Source organism: Homo sapiens, chromosome 10 (genome assembly GCF_000001405.40).
Source record: "Homo sapiens chromosome 10, GRCh38.p14 Primary Assembly".
Taxonomy (NCBI): domain Eukaryota; kingdom Metazoa; phylum Chordata; class Mammalia; order Primates; family Hominidae; genus Homo; species Homo sapiens.
Window position 1 is genome coordinate 63,951,817 of NC_000010.11, and position 18,289 is coordinate 63,970,105.

Genomic DNA, 18,289 nt, shown 5'->3' on the forward strand with positions numbered 1-18,289 from the left:
TCTTCTAATATATGAGGTAGAATAGGTCATTTTATGTATCATCATTTCATTGGTAGAGAAGCACAGACCCAGTGAAATGGAGAGAGCCCTCTGGGGTCAAAGAATAGGTGGGTGCAGAGCTGACCATGCACAGCAACAGTCCTAATTCTCTAAGTGGTGCTACACTAAGGCTGAGACACTGTCCCTGGTAAGCCTGATAGTTTTTCTTGCTTTTTAGTTATTAAATAACAATCTTAACTATAAATCCTAGGATAGGCCATCTGCAAGCCGGAGAACCAGGGAAGCTGGTAGCATGGCTCAGTCCAAGTCTAAAGGCCTCAGAACCAGGGAAGCCAAAGCTGAAGAACCAAGAGCTGGGGATGGAGTGTGGGGGGACTGTAATAATCTTATAGCAACATTAAGTGTATATTTGAAAAGAAAAAGAAAGACACATATAATTTTGTCATCAAGGAGTTGTCTCTCTTTTCATTTTAGTATGTTTCCGTCTGTCTTTACTATATGATATGCTTGTTAAATTGATATGCTTTAGAAGTAATAACCCTTTTAGACAAGCTGAGAGCAACAGAAATGTAACAGATGTGGGATTTATTAGAAAAATCTTAAATTCTGTTTTTCTTTGGAAAATCATAGTGGTGGTAGCTATTGGACTATTCAGAGACTTCTTTCTATTTTGATGCAGTGGTTGTGGTGTAAATTATTTTATCTTGATTTTACTCTGGGGCTTTTAGAATTAGATTTTGCTGGAGTTGGCTTTGATTTAACACTTGTATGCATTACAGGTATTAGAAAAAAATCCCATTCTTTCAAAAGTCTTTGGAGTACCAGCAAACTAATTAAAGCTACCCAGCTAAGTAAATCCATTTTCGATTATCAGTAACACGGTGAGTTTTTTTTTTTAAACATAAAGTTTGCTAGTTACCTGAGTTAAAAAAAAAAAAAAAAAACCCAATCTACCATACAAACTGTTTGGTGTTCACTCAAAGTATGTCCTTAGATTTAGAAATGTTTCAGTATTTTTTTAATTGCAAAAACCATGAATTAGCTCAGATGGCTAGAATAAGTGACTAAAGGGTGACATAAATTTGAATGGTAGGTAGACAACTAATTGGTTTTCTGTGTTTCACGACCTCACAGTCACATGAATGGATCTGTCGGTAGTTACTGAATGCCTAGCATTGTCGCATAGAAATGTTTAATGTGATTTTATGTTCCTTAGTGATTAATCAAGCAAAAGTGTGGATGGGTCATTGCATCTTCAAGTTTAGGGAAAACATTTTAATGCTTGCCACACTGGATGGTTCAGTAGTGACACTCATATGTAAAGGGCCAGGAAATAATTGTTCCAGTTTGTGCTTTGTCACCAATTAAAAAGTAGGGCAAAAGCTTTCTGATCCTAGGTTTACTAATCTATAAAATGTGGTTAATAATACCCACCCTGCTTATCTTTCAGGTTTGAGGTGAAGGCCAAAATAGAAATTGTAAGTAAACATGCTTTTGATCACAATTCTAATGGTAGACATAGTTTTGGTCTTCTTTTATGTTTTTATATATATTTGGTGACCTAGGTGTTCAATTGAATACTTGAAGGTGGCATTCACCTATACTGATAAATTAGTGAATAGGTCAGAAACTAAGTACAGGTATATCTTGGCAATATCATGGGTTCAGTTCTAGACCACTAAAATAAAGCAAATATTGCAATAAAGTGAGTCACACACATTGTTTTTATATTCCCAGGGCATATAAAAGTTACATTTGTTCTATACTGTAATCCACTAAGTGTGCAATATCATTATTTATAAAAATGCAAATACCTTAATTAGTAATACTTTACTGCTAAAAAATGCTAATGATCACTTGAGCCTTCAGCGAGTCATAATCTTCTTATTGGTGAAAGGTGTTGCCTCCACGTTAATGGCTGCTGACTGATCAGGGTGATGTTGCTGAAGATTGGCGTGGCTGTGGCGATTTCTTAAAATAAGACAACAGTAAAATTTACCACATTGATTGACTCTTTTCATGAAAGATTTCTCTGTAACATGTGATCCTGTTGGATAACGTTTTATTGGAGTAAATTCTCTCAAACTCTGCTGCTTGTTTATCAATTAAATTTATGTAATATTCTAAATGCCTTTTTTACTATTCTAAATCCTTTGTTTTCATTTCAACAATGTTCAAAGCATCTTTATCAGGAGTAATTTCCATCTTAAGAAACCACTTTCTTTGCTCATCCATAAGAAGCAAGTCCTCATCCATTCAAGTTTTATCATGAGATTGCAACAATTTAGTCACATTTTCAGGCTGTACTTCTAATTCTAGTTCTCCTACTATTTCTGCTACATCTGTGGTTATCTTCTCTACTGAAGTCTTAGACCACTCAGTCGTCCATGAGAATTGGAATCAACTTCTAAACTCTTATTAGTATTGATATTTTGACTTCCTCCCATGAATTATAAATGTTCTTAATGGTATCTAGAAGGTGAATCTTTTCATGAAGATTTTCAATTAACTTTGCCCAGATTTATTAGAGGAATCAGTATCCAAGGCAGCTATAGCATTACAAAATGTATTTCCAGGATGGGTGCAGTGGCTCATGCCTGTAATCCCAGCCCTTTGGGAGGCTAGGAAGGGTGAATCACTTGAGGTCAGGAGTTCATGACCAGCCTGGCCAACATGGTGAAACCTCATGTCTACTAAAAATACAAAAATTAGCTGGGTGTGGTGGTGGGCACCTGTAATCCCAGCTACTTGGGAGGCTGAGGCAGGAGAATTCTTGAACCCAGGAGGCGGAGGTTGCAGTGAGCTGAGATTGTGGCACTGTTATCCAGACTGGGAGACAGAGGGAGACTCTGCCTCGAAAAAAAACCCAAACAAAACAAAACAAAACAAAAGACCCAAAAACCAAAATGGCTTTCCTAAATACTAAGACTTGAAAGTTAGAATTACTCTTTGATCCATGGCAGAATTAATGTTGTGTTAGGCATGAAAACATTAATGTCCTTGCATATCTCCATCAGAGCTCTTGGGTGACCAGATGCATTGTCAATGAATAGTAATATTTTGAAGGGATTTTCTTTTTCCTGAGCAGTAGGTCTCAACAGTGGGCTTAAGATATTCAGTACACCACGCTGTGAATACATGTCCTATTATTATCTAGGCTTTGTTGTCCCACTTATAGAGCTTAGGCAGGAAAGAGTTAACATAATTTTTAAGGACCCTGGAAATTTCAGAATGGTCAATGAGCATTGGCTCCAATTTAATGTTACCAGCTGCATTGGCCCCTAGTTAGAGAGTCAGGCTTGTTGTTTGAAACTTTGGAGTTAGGCACTGACTTCTTTTCTCCAGTTATAAAAGTCCTAGGTATCTTCTTCCAATATAGGACTGTTTCGTCTACATTGAAAATGTGTTGTTTAGTGTAGCCACATTCATCAGTTATCTTAGCCAGATCTTCTGGATAACTTGTTACAGCCTCTGCATCAGCACTTCCTGCTTCACCTTGCACTTTTAAGTTCTGGAAATGGCTTCATTAACCCACTTCTAGTAGCTTCAAACTTTTCTCCTGCAGCTTCCTCACCTCTCTCAGCCTTCATACAACTGAAGAGAGTTAGGGTCTTACTCTGGGTTAGTCTTTGACTGAAGGAAGTGTTGTGGCTGTTTTTATCTTCTATCCAGACAACTAAAACTTTCTCCATATCAAACAATGCTGTTTCACTTTCTTATCATTTGTGCATTCACTGGAGTAGCCCTTTTAATTTTCTTCAAGAACTTTTCCTTTACATTTACAACTTGGCTGTTAGGCCAAAACCTAGGCCTCTTATGCCAATCTTAGCTTTTGACATGCCTTTCTCACTAAACTTAAACATAGAAAGCTTTTGATTTAAAGTGAGAGAAGGCAACTCTTCTTTTCACTTGAACACTTAACTGGCCCAAATTCAATATTGTTGTGTCTTGGGATGGTTTGGATCATAATCCCAAAAGACACGATCTTGAAAGCCATAATCTCAAATGTGAAATCTCTAAAGATTAAAATCCCTAATGTCTAAAATCCTCAAAATTACAATCTCAAGCTTAACAGCCCAAATGTTAAAATCCTGAAAGCTGAATTCTTTGGAAGGGATTAATGTGCTTTCAGTTGTATGCAGGATAGTTACGTCATGTTAGTTGCACCATGTTAAGTAGAACTATCACCTTGTTTTTATCTTTATTTGCATTTGGCAGAAAATTCAGATGAGTGGATTAGCCATAATATGGTGATGACAAAAACCTCAGTTTAAAAATGCATCATTCCTCCTGGCTAATGACGTTCCAGGAGATTTTAACGCATTGAAGGCACATTTGCCTGAAGAAGTCAGAGATGTTACTGACTGGTTCAAAAATAATCATGTGCATGGTATGATAAAAAGACACACTTTTTAAAGAATTAGAAATAGAAGAATTTCAAAAAGAGCAGTACTTCATAGAAAATGATTGTGAAAATATTATCTGAGACAGCCATGTCCTGAAAGATAAAAAGCAGCTATTCTTCATGATGTAAGACTTCAAAATATAATGATTGTGAAAGTCAGTCAGCTCTTATTAACTATTTCCTTGCAATTGCCCATAATCTATAGTACATTTTTTCCATACGTTGAATTTTCTTTTAAGTTTTTTGTTTTTCTTTTTCTTTTAAATGTTTTTTGCACTATTTTAAATTGTCAGCATTATTATTTTACAATTTGCTATGCTATGTGTTTTGTTTTTGCATTATTTCAATACTGGAGGTATAAACTATATAGAGAGTTTTAGAGAGTTCCAGTTTTATGCATTTTTTTGGCAAATTTGACTCCATGAAAGTGATCTATCACAATTTTGAATTTGTGTGTAAGCACTGTGTTTGTGCGTGTAAAAAACGTTGAAACTTCCTCAGCAAATGAAGAGATATCCTTTTTGTACGCCTGCATTTGTGAAAGATAACATTTTTTAAGATCCTGGCTCTCTGGGTGACTGCATATATGGGGGTGACCCACAGTGGTTGTTGACTGATTTCATCAAAAGACAGGTTGTTCATCATGGTATGATCGCATTTACAAAGCTAGGTACGCACAATTGCCAACCAGAGTAATAGGCATTTATATATTTCCCTTTGACCTATTTCTTTATGAACACAATTTATCTATTCATAACTGTTATACCCATGTGATTGTCATTGGTATACCTGAGTGTTTAAACTTACAAAAATATGTATACTATTGTCTATTTTATTGTGTAAAGTGGCCCATGTTCTGTTGTGTTTTTATTTTTCTCAAATAAATCCTCCTTTAAAATGTAAGTAAATATATAGAGTTGTGCAACCTTCACCACGATCAACTTTAGAATATTTTCATCACTGCAAATGGAAGCCCCATTCCCATTTGTGATTATTCCCCATTCCTCCTCAACCTCCCTTTCCTGATCTCTCCCTACTGTCAGCCCTAGGCCATGACAATTGCTAATCTACTCTTTGTCTCTTTAGAGTTGTCTGTTTTGGACATTCCATGTAAATATGTATATGTGGTCTTTTGCGACTGGCTTCTTTTATGCATCACAAGTTCAAGGTTCATCCATGTTTTAGCATGTATCATCAGTATTTCATTCGTTTTTTTTTAATTGCCAAATACTATTTGGCTTGTCTCCATTTTTGGCTATTGTGAATAATGACATTTCAACATTACTATGTAAGCTTTCTTATGGATATATGTTATCATTTGAGTATGTACCTAGGAATGGAACCACTGGATCATATGGTAAGTCTGTTGAACACTGTGAGGAACTGCCAGTTTTCCTATGTGGGTGTACCATTTTACATTCTCACCAGCAGTGTATGAGAGTGTTCCAATTTCTCCACATCTTAGCCAAGTTTTGCTATTATCTTTTTCATTTAAGCCATCCTAATGGGTGTGAGGTGGCATGTCATTGTGATTTTGATTTGCATTTCCTCAATGACCAGTGATGTTGAACATCTTTTCATATGTTTGTTGGTCATTTGCAGATTTTCTTTGGACTTTCATACTAGTTTCAAAGTCAGTCTGAATTAGATTTTTCTGTCACTTGCATCATGGATCCTATCTGATTCAGGTGGCATGTTTCACCTCTGCGAAGAGTTTCAGTGCTATCTCTTAGATATCCTTTAATAAACTTTAAATATAACATTTATACAGAGAAGCATATAAGCCATAAGTCGATTGCTTATTATATTTTCACAGGAACAAGGCTTGTAAACATTGCTCAGATCAAGAAACAAAACATACAAGCATTTTTGGAAGCCCCCTCATACTTCTTGTTACTCTCCTGCTAAATTATTAACATCATAGATTGGTTTTGCCCATTTTTAAACTTTATATAAATGGAATCATACAGTATATACTCTTTTGCATTGGCTTCTTTCATTCAGCACTATGTCTGTGACATTCATTCATCCTGTTGTGTTTAGCAGTAGTTTGTGCTTTTATACTACTGTGGTGTAGTACTCCAATGAATGAATATACCACAATTTATGCATTCTATTATTTCCACTTTTTAAATATTACAAATAATACTGCTATGGACAATGGTGTACATGTGTTTTGAAATACTTCCAATACCATGTAGAATTTCAGTGACATCTACTAGAAGCTCTATTGTTAGCCTTTCACATTTAGATCTACAATTCTCCTGTAGCTTTGTAGATCTTTAGTAGATTTATTGCTAGCTATTGTTGGTTATTGGTTCTACTATAAGCCCTCAAGAGGATTTACTTTCGTGACTAGCAGGCAGTTAGGATGAGGAGGTTTACCTTACTTTAGTCTGGAATTGATCTAAATCTGAGCCAAACTTTATTCTTTTTGAGGGTTTGGTGGCTCCTGTTACCTAAATTCCTGGAGTATTGCCCTTCAGAAATCCCAAATGAAAGCCTGAGTGTTTATTAGGAACCCTCCTCTTTGGTAGGTCCTGAAAAAATTCGGATTTTTCTCTGCAGCCCCTGAGACTGCTGAAAGCTCTGCTCAGCTCCTATACCTGCTAGCCATGACTTTCTGCTTAGTGGCTCACATGCTGCCTGGGCATCAGCAGATGTGTCAGGGGAGTGTAACATCAGGCTCACTTCTCAACACTTCTTTCTCTCTGGGATCTTAGACCCAGATCTTGGCTTCGTGGTAATGTTCCGTCAAACAATAAAAAAAATGTATACAGCTTTTCTAGGTGTTATAAGCAGGAAGGTTAGTCTGATACTAGCTTATCTGCCATAGCCTGAAGTGGAAGTAGGTAGCAGAATGCTGTTAAATGTCTAACAACTGTCTCTCGGTGGGGTGTTGGTGGGGTGGTGGCGCACTGGGAGGCTTTAATTTGTAGCATTTGCTGATTAATGGTGGAAATCTTCTCACCATGAACAATTTTGAGCAGCCAATGTGACATCATTGAACATGGAATTGAGAAAAGAAATGTATAGTTGGCTCTCGTGAGCTGAGACGTACTCCAAGACATCTGAGTTGAAGTCCATTCCATCTGGCTGGTTCTATACTTCCAGTGCAAGTGAAGGGAGCTGTTTATTCTATACCATCAATATCCCCATATCTAGGTATTGAGGGCCATAACCTCTGCCTGGGTGTTTGTCTAGGGGGGCAGTTTATTAGTCGATGGGGTCGTGGGAAAGGTAGAGCTCTGTGTCTGGGATTTACATTTGGAAGTGAAAGAAGGGTCATACAGATTCAGAAGGGGGAGGGAAACAGAAGCATGCAGAAGTCTGGAGTAATAAGTCAGAAACCCTAGTAATAATTATAATAAATATTAAACAAGGGATACAACTTTTACCTGTCAAATTGGAAAAAATTTCAAAAATATTGGGTACAAAATTTCACAAAGAAGACTGTAGAGATCTCTAAACTGTTAAACACTGTTGTGGGGAGGAAAATTGTGCTTTCACAAGTAAATCCTAAAAAAGGAATCAAACACAAAGAAAAAAGAAAATGTAAAAATATGATCCCACTTAAAAATGAAAAAAGGGGAATGGTGGAATAAATTTGTAGTGATTAAAAATGATGTTTTTGCCTGTAATCCTGGCACTTTGGGAGGCCGAGGAGGGCAGATCACAAGGTTAGGAGATCGAGACCATCCTGGCCAACATGGTGAAACCCCGTCTCTACTAAAAATACAAAAAATTAGCTGGGCATGGTGGCACACACCTGTAGTCCCAGCTACTCGGGAGGCTGAGGTAGGAGAATTGCTTCAACCTGGGAGGTAGAGTTTGCAGTGAGCCGAGATTGAGCCACTGCACTTCAGCCTGGGCAACAGAGCGAGACTCCATCTCAAGAAAAAGAATATGTTTTTGAAGAATTTTAAAGATGTTAATGTTGGTGTAAAATAAAAAAAACAGTGTTTGCATTTTATTAAACTTTCCAAAAATAAAAAATGTGTATTTATAGAGAAAGGAAAGACAATAGATTTTTAAAAAGTATTATTATCTTTGGTAGTAAGATTATGAGTAAATTTTGTTGTCTTCTTTTTACTTTTTACTCATACTTCTAAATGAGCTTGTGTTACCTTTATGTTCTCAAAATAAAGCCAGTAAATATAACAGTGGGAAAAAAATAATACATTCTTAGTAGGAAAGGGATATTTTCTGCTTGAGATTAATAACTGGATTAATTTAACTAGGAGAATCTCATACAAATCAAATGCTAATCTGTTTGCAAATAGGCTGCTTATATTTTTTTCTGTCTCCAAGTCTGAATTTTCTTCTGGTGCTGATATGGTTTGGCTGTGTCCCCACCCAAATCTCATCTTGAATTGCACTCCCATAAATCCCATGTGTTATGGGAGGGACCTGGTGAGAGATAATTTGAATCATGGGGGCGGTTTCCCTCATACTGTACTCGCGGTAGTAAATAAGTCTCATGAGATTGGATGGTTTCATCAGGGGTTTCTGCTTTTGCATTTTACTCATTTTCTCTTGCCACCACCATGTAAGAAGTACCTTTCACCTCCCTCCACAATTCTGAGGCCTTCCCAGCCATGTGGAACTGTAAGTCCAATTAAACCTCTTTTTCTTCCCAGTCTCAGGTATGTCTTTATCAGCAGCATGAAAATAGACTAATACAGATGCCATATAAAAATTAGGAGATAAAAGAGGAAGTCAAATTGTCCCTGCTTGCAGATGACATGATTGTATATCTAGAAAACCCCATCATCTCAGCCCAAAATCTCCCTAAGCTGATAAGCAACTTCAGCAAAGTCTCAGGATACAAAATCAATGTGCAAAAATCACAAGCATTCTTATACACCAATCACAGACAAACAGAGAGCCAAATCATGAGTGAACTCCCATTCACAATTGCTTCAAAGAGAATAAAATACCTAGGAATCCAACTTACAAGGGATGTGAAGGACCTCTTCAAGGAGAACTACAAACCACTGCTCAACGAAATAAAAGAGGATACAAACAAATGGAAGAACATTCCATGCTCATGGGTAGGAAGAATCAATATCGTGAAAATGTCCATATTGCCCAAGGTAATTTATAGATTCAATGCCATCCCCATCAAGCTACCAATGACTTTCTTCACAGAATTGGAAAAAACTACTTTAAAGGTCATATGGAACCAAAAAAGAGCCCGCATCGCCAAGTCAATCCTAAGCCAAAAGAACAAAGCTGGAGGCATCATGCTACCTGACTTCAAACTATACTACAAGGCTACAGTAACCAGAACAGCATGGTACTGGTACCAAAACAGAGATATAGACCAATGGAACAGAACAGAGCCCTCAGAAATAATGCCGCATATCTACAACCATCTGATCTTTGACAAACCTGAGAAAAACAAGCAATGGGGAAAGGATTCCCTATTTAATAAATGGTGCTGGGAAAACTGGCTAGCCATATGTAGAAAGCTGAAACTGGATCCCTTCCTTACACCTTATACAAAAATTAATTCAAGATGGATTAAAGAGTTACATGTTAGACCTAAAACCATAAAAATCCTAGAAGAAAACCTAGGCAATACCATTCAGGACATAGGCATGGGCAAGGACTTCATATCTAAAACACCAAAAGCAATGGCAACAAAAGCCAAAATTGACAAATGGGATCTAATTAAACTAAAGAGCTTCTGCACAGCAAAAGAAACTACCATCAGAGTGAAGAGGCGACCTACAGAATGGGAGAAAATTTTTGCAATCTACTCATCTGACAAAGGGCTAATATCCAGAATCTACAATGAACTCAAACAAATTTACAAGAAAAAAACAACCCCATCAACAAGTGGGCAAAGGATATGAACAGACACTTCTCAAAAGAAGACATTTATGCAGCCAAAAGACACATGAAAAAATGCTCATCATCACTGGCCATCAGAGAAATGCAAATCAAAACCACAATGAGATACCATCTCCCACCAGTTAGAATGGCGATCATTAAAAAGTCAGGAAACAACAGGTGCTGGAGAGGATGTGGAGAAATAGGAACACTTTTACACTGTTGGTGGGACTGTAAACTAGTTCAACCATTGTGGAAGTCAGTGTGGTGATTCCTCAGGGATCTAGAACTAGAAATACCATTTGACCCAGCAATCCCATTACTGGGTATATACCCAAAGGACTATAAATCATTCTGCTATAAAGACACATGCACACGTATGTTTATTGTGGCACTACTCGCAATAGCAAAGACTTGGAACCAACCCAAATGTCCAACAATGATAGACTGTATTAAGAAAATGTGGCACATATATGCCATGGAATACTATGCAGCCATAAAAAATGATGAGTTCATGTCCTTTGTAGGGACATGGATGAAGCTGGAAACCATCATTCTCAGCAAACTATCACAAGGACAAAAAACCAAACACCGCATGTTCTCACTCGCAGGTGGGAATTGAACAATGAGAACACATGGACACAGGAAGGGGAACATCACACACTGGGGACTGTTGTGGGGTGGGGGGAGCGGGGAGGGATAGCATTAGGAGATATACCTAATGCTAAATGACAAGTTAATGGGTGCAGCACACCAACATGGCACATGTATACATATATAACAAACCTGCACATTGTGCACATGTACCCTAAAACTTAAAGTATAATAATAATAATAAATAAATAAATATATATATATATATATATATATATATATATATTAGGAGATAAATGTTAGACACCAAACAGAGGAAAGAAAGACAGTTCATGGGTTCAGAGAACAGCAAAAAGGCATTTAACAACTAAGTTATTATAAACTTTGTCACTTTAATAGATGTTTGAACTTCCTCAAGTTTCCATGGAACTGTGACACCTGGTCCTGCAGAAAGCTACCTTCTGGTCTTGCACTAACTATCATGGGCCCTGAGCAATCAAGATTTTCAAAAAGACAGACAACCTGCTGTGTATTCTTGAGGGAGTATGTCTCTCTTTCTCCAGGCTCTGGGCAGACTTGCCAGACTTTATTTTCCCCATTTTCTAGTTATTTTTCTTCCCTAGTGATTGTAGGGTAGAAATCACTTAAATTTCCAGAGACTTCTTTAACTGATCAGCAAGTTTCCCATTTGCTAAGTAACATTCTCTTCCGGATTCTCAGGAATTAAAAGCTAATATGTCAAAGCAAAACTCAGTGAAACTTACTGATTTTTTTTTCCTTTAGCACCAAGAAAAGGGCTGTGGACTTAGAGATGTAAAATAAATATTTTTTTTGGTATTAAATGGTTGCTATTAAAACAAAAATAAATGTTTTTGGTACATATGCATACACACAGATATACCTATATGTATATATATTTCATTAGTTTTCTAAATGAGCTTGTGTTACCTTTATGTTCTCAAAAAAAAAAGCCAATAAACATGACAGTGGGGAAAAATTAATCCATTCTTATGTGTAGGCAACGAATATTTTGCACTTGAGATTAATTATCCGGTTACGTTAACTAGAAGAATCTCATTCAAATTATGCCATTCAAATATATATATAAAAATATGTGTAACTGTATATGTTTTAAAATATATGTATATTTAAATATGTGTATATGTATATGTATATAGGTATATGTATTTAAATATATGTATATATTTAAATATATGTATATTTAAATGTATATGTATGTATTTAAATATGTCTATAAATTTACATATGCTTATATACATATATACATTTATTCACATGTATTTATATATGTGTATATACATGTGAACAAATATACATATGTTTATATACAGGTATATGTACATGTATATATTTACGTACATGTATATGTATATAAATCTCAAATAGATGCATATACATATAAGTATACATATTTTTGAGTATGTTTCAAAATAAGAATTCATGTTCATTTTTTGTTTCACATGATAATTAATCAATTGTTCTGGCATACCTTAATGAGCTGTCCATGTTTTCAAAAACTGATTTGCATCATCCCTCTGACATATATCAGATTTTCATATATGCATATTAATATTATTCCCTCTTCTCTCAATTAGCTCCTTCTGGAATGCTGATGGACATGTTGGGCTTACTCTATCCTTTGTGTCTCTTTAATCTCTTAACTTCCTAACTATAGCCATATTAAAATAATTATTTTTTATTATATCCAATAATTCTAGTATCTTAAATCTTAGCTGGTCATATTGCAAATTTGTGTTTTCTGCTATATCTCAATCGTGATAGCCTATTTCCTCATGTGCTTAGTGATTTTTAAAAATTATAATATGACCTTTAGAACTTTACCTGTGGGAATTACTTGAAGTTTGAGTGTAAAGTGGATTTTTCCAGAAAGAAGTTGGTTTTGCGTTTTCCAGGGACCTGGCCAGGCTTGTTTCTAACATTTGTAATGAGTACAGCATTTGCAAGAGTACAGATGGAATTCACATACCATATGTCTAAGTTTTTAAAAGTAATAAATTAAGCCAAAAACTGTTAAATGCAATGTTTTATCCTCCTACCTTGATAAATATACCTTCATAATGATGACACCTAAAAGTATTTGAAAACATATAATTTTTTAGGTGACTGGAAGTTGTCAAAATATCAGAGATTAGTGAATTTCATTATTATTATGCATATCTAGGTGTTCTCTTGAGGGGCCAAAGTTTGTATGAGTAAATAAATGCTGTTTTATTTGTTTATATTCACTCTATAAAATCTATTTTTAATCTTTCATTTCAAAACAATTACTTATTACAAAGTTTTCTTTCAGAATATTCAAAATTATCTATTAAAATTAGAAGGCAACATATAATTTATATGATGAATGTAAACTTTTAAAGAAAAATGTAAGTGAAACTTAGCATTTATCTTTAAAAATATAAGTATTAAATGTTTTCTGAAAATACAACTCACAGTTCTAGCATTCTGTGTCCTAGTTGCAAATGTAAACTGTTGTTACCATGATTTTTAGTGGTTGTATACAGACCTACATATATACAAATATAAAAGAAATATGAATTGTTAAGTATTGCAGATGTTCCTCCTCTGCCATCTGCAGTTATCACAAATGCTGTACTAATTTGTGAAGCAATGTAGAAAACCTTGAATTGGAACCTGAAGAGAAATAGAAATGTAGATGCTGGGCACTGTGGAGATGGGATAATTTTTTTAATGCAAAAAATCCACTGGATATGTGTTTTCTGGGAAGAGGAATTTGACAAAATTGTCTTTTTAAAAATTTAACAACATCTGTAGCTAAATCCCCCTAGACTCCAAAATGGTGTTAGTCTTTGACACCACTGGCAGTGGCAAAATCCACAGACCTTCCTGGAAATGAAACACAGCTGCCTTTTGTTTCCAGGACACAGAGCAAGGGATATGGAGAAACATTTCCCCGGGACCTGAATGTTGTTAGACATGATGACAGATGTGTAGGATTATGAGTTGAACCATGTCAACACTGAGCACTACCTCCCAAGTGACAGAGGCATCCATGTGTGGTTTAGTAATTCTTTTATATGTGTATAGGTGACATGTGGGGGCATTATCAGTTCAGGACCATTTTAGCCAAAATTATTGGCTTGGATGTTTTAGATAGAATGAAGTCCAACTGCAAGTCTATGGAAGAAGAGGTTTTTGAGAATTCTCAAGAAATAAACTTCTGTCTACTGTCATTCCAACCCAGAGCCAAGGCCTATGTAGGCATGTATCTTCATCGTCATCTGTGCCAGATTCGTTATTTATTTCTGATTTACTCATTGAACGTGTCATGTTTTAGAAATCCCATGTTTGTGTGGGAATTTGCAAGCTGAGTCTTGTCTTCTGCCTCAGCACACATAATCTATTAAAATTGAGGCTCTGAGCCAATAGGGATAGGCAGATATTCCAGAGAAAACGGCAGATTCAGTTCTCCCTTAGCCAAGTAAATTTATGCCTTCTAACCATTTCTATTCTCTGAGAAATTCCCTTGCCACATCACCAGCTCAGTCATTCAGTAAAAGGTTTTTTTTAAATGTTTTATCCAGTATTTTTAGATTTAAATGGTGGAGTTTCTAATCTACCACACTGCTAGAAATAAAATCCAGTGTTTACTGCTTATAGAACATTTTAATACGTTAGTTTAATGAATTCTTCTAGCAATCAAAAGGTAGCTACTCTTCCCAATTCACAGGTAAATTGCTGAGGCTCAGATGTTTGGTGACTTCCTATAGTGATATGATTTCATGTGTCAAACAGTAGTAAGGGTTAGGACCCAAGAGAAAATTGAATAAGAAATTCAACTTGGGAAGATAGAGAGGGAGGAAATGTGCAGGAGCTCAGGAGTTCCATGGGGGAAGCATGTGGTGTAGTGGATGGAGAAAAAATTTCTAGAGTCAGGTGCATTTGAGTTTGAATTCAAGTTTGATGTTTGTGCAACTTGGAACATTACTTCATCAATGAGCCTCAGCTATTTTAGCTGTAACATGGGATGAATAGTCCCCTCTTAATTAATACATTCAGATATAACATATATACTTAAAGATAGAACAGAAACATTCGTAATTAAATAGTGACTAATTACAAACATTTTGACAATCCAAAAGAGTGGTAACATTTCAAACTCAAGAGAAGGCACTTTGTTTTTGATAAATATCTTGATGAGCATCTTTTAGTATGAAAGGAAAAGCTCTAGTCTTCACTTGTAGGAAATTTTCTGAAAAGAGAGAATAAAAGTCTAAAAAGGGTTGAAGTGTGCAAGACAATAGAGAGAGCAGTTTATCCATGAGTAACTCTGGAGTGAAGAGTTAAGGGATCTAAGACCTGGTAAGGAGAAACTGAGGAGAACAGGAAGCTCCAGGAATAAGCAAGATGATGAAAGGAACTATCCAAGAGTTTTAGGATAGTGATGTCTAACATTTAACTTTCAGCTAGTGCCTATATTGTATGATGCTGTCATTTCCTACCATGACTCTAAGCCTTTAATAAAAGTCTGGTTTCCATAAAAGACTGGTGGTAATGTTTTCTGTGGGAATTGAGGGAATTAACAGCAAAGCCTAGCATGCAATGAAGTGGTGCAGAAAGAGGACATAATGTCCACCACATTGGAGAGCAATCCATGGCAATAATGACAATAGGAATTACAGCAGTTGATATTATGTGCTGACACTATACATTATGCAGATTAAAAAATATTCTTAAAGCAACCCTTGGAAGGAACAGGTATTGACTCCTTCACAAAAGGAGACTGAAAGTGTTTCAATAAGTATGTAAGAAGTGCTCAATATTATTAGTTATCAGGAAAATGAATATTGAAACCACAGTGAGATACCACTACACATTCACCAGAATAAAGTTTAAAAGTTGTCTGTCATTTCAAATGTAAGTAGGAATGTGGAACACCTAGAACTCTTCTATCCTATGCAGATTTGAACTCAATCATATAAACAATTATGTTAACTATAATTGGACTAAACAACTCTTTTAATGGATAAATTCCTGGAAACACACAACCTCCCAAGATTGAATCAAAAAGAAATGAAAACCCTAAACAGACCAATATGGAGTTCTGAAATTAAATCAGTAATAAAAAAACCTATCAACCAATAAAAGGCCCATAATAACAGATGGATTCATAGTTGAATTCTACCAGAGGTACAAAGAAGAGCTGGTACCAATCCTACTGAAACTATTTCAAAAAAAAATAGAGGAGGAGGAACTCCTCCCTAACTCATTCTACAAAGCCAGCATTACCCTGATGCCAAAACCTGGCAAACACACAACGAAAAAAGAAAACTATAAGCCAATATCCCTGATTAACATAGACACAAAAATCCTCAACAGGATACTAGCAAACCAAATACAGCAGCACATCAAAAAGTTAATTCATCACAATCAAGTAGGCTTCATTCCTGGGATGCAAGGTTGGTTCAACATACACAAATCAACAAATGTTATTCACCACATAGACAGAATTAAACACATATGGTCATCTCAATAGATGCAGGAAAAGCATTTGATAAGATCCAGCATTTCTTCATGATAGAAACCCTCAGCAAACTAGGCATCAAAGGACTATACCTCAAATAAGAGCCATCTATGACAAACCCACAACCAACATCACGATGAACAGCCAAAAGCTAGAAGCATTCTCCTTGAGAACTAGAACAAGACAAGAATGCCCACTCTCACCGTTCCTTTTCAATATAGTACTGGAAGTCCTTACCAGAGCAATCAGGCAAGAGACAGAAATAAAAGGCATCCAAATAGGAAGAGGGGAATTCAAACTGTCTTCATGGATGATATGATTTGATACCTATAAAACCCTAAAGACTCCATCAAAAGGCTCCTGGAACTGGTAAATGACTTTAGTAAAGTTTAAGGATACAAAATGAACATAATGAAAAACAGTAGCATTTGTATACACCAATAATGTTCAAGCTGAGAGCCAAATCAGGAACATAATCCCTTTTACAATAGCCACACACACAAAAATATCTAGGAATACATCTAACTAAGGAGGTGAAAAATGTCTACAAGGAGAACTACAAAGCATTGCATAGATGACGCAAATGGAAAAATGGCCCATGCTCATGGATTGGAAGAATCAATATTCTTAAAATGGGCATACTACCCAAAGCAATCTGCAGATTCAATGCTCTTCCTATCAAACTACTAATATAGTTTTTTTCCAGAGTTAGTAAAAACTATTCTAAAGTTCAGATGGAACCAAAAAAGATCCCAAATAGCCAAAGCAATCCTATGCAAAAAGAACAAAGTGGAGGCATCACATTACCCAACTTCAAATTATACTACAAAGCTATGGTAACCAAAACTACATGGTACTGGTACAAAAACAGACACATAGACCAGTGGAACAGAATGAAGAACCCAGATATAAAGCTGCACACCTACAGCTATCTGGTCTTTGACAAAGTTGACAAAAATAAGCTATGGGTAAAGTACTGCCTAGTCAATAAATGATGCTGGGATAACTGGCCAGCTATATGCAGAAGAAGGAAACTTGGACCCCTACCTTTCACCATATAAAAGTTAATATGGATTAAAGATTTAAATATAAGACCTCAAACTGTAAGAATCCTAGAAGAAAACCTGGGAAACACCATTATCAGCATTGGCCTTGGGAAAGAATTTATGACTAAGTCTTCAAAAGCAATTGTAACAAAACAAAAAATTGATAATTGGGACCTAATTAAAAGGCTTCTGCACAGTAAAACAAACTATCATCAGAGTAAACAGGCAACCTCTGCAATGGGAGAAAATATTTGCTAACTATGTAGCCAATAAAGACCTAATATGCAGATTCTATAAGGAACTTAAACATTTCAACAGGCAAAAACCAAATAACCCCACTAAAAGTGGGCAAAGGAAATGAATAGACATTTCTCAAAAGAAAACACACAAGTGGCCAACAAACATATGAAAAAACCTCATCTCACATCACTCAGAATGGCTATTATTAAGGAGTCAAAAAATAACAGATGATGGTGAGGTTGTGGAGAAAAAGGAGCACTTACACACTGTTGGTAAGATTTTAACCATTGTGGAAGACAGTGTGGCAATTCCTCAAAGATCTGAAGATGGAAACACCATTTGACTCAGCAATCTCATTACTGGGTATGTATCCAAAGGAAAATAAAAAAGAGACATCCATTTGTATGTTCATCAGAGCACTATTCACAATTCCGAAGACATGGAATAAACTTAGGTGTCCATCAACGGTTGATTGGATAAAGAACATTTAGTATGTGTACCCCAGGAACTATTATGCAGCCATAAAAAAGAATAAAATTATGGATGCAGCTGGAAGCCATTATCCTAAGCGAATTAATGCAGGGACAGAAAACCAAATAGCACATGTTCTAATTTATAAGTAGGAGATAAACTCTGGGT

The 18,289-nt window shown here is 35.9% G+C and overlaps 1 long non-coding RNA gene across 5 annotated transcripts in view; it reads left to right on the forward strand.

Moving 5' to 3' along the window:
- LOC124902439 (uncharacterized) overlaps positions 1 to 18,289 on the forward strand; it is an 820,351-nt gene that overhangs the window by 79,228 nt on the left and 722,834 nt on the right. Inside the window, exon 2 of one of the 5 annotated variants that reach the window (XR_007062159.1) lies at positions 1,451 to 1,478. The exons of the other annotated variants lie outside the window; for them this stretch is intronic. This is a non-coding gene — a long non-coding RNA (uncharacterized LOC124902439). The remainder of the gene's footprint in view (positions 1 to 1,450; positions 1,479 to 18,289) is intronic. 5 annotated transcript variants of the gene reach the window in all.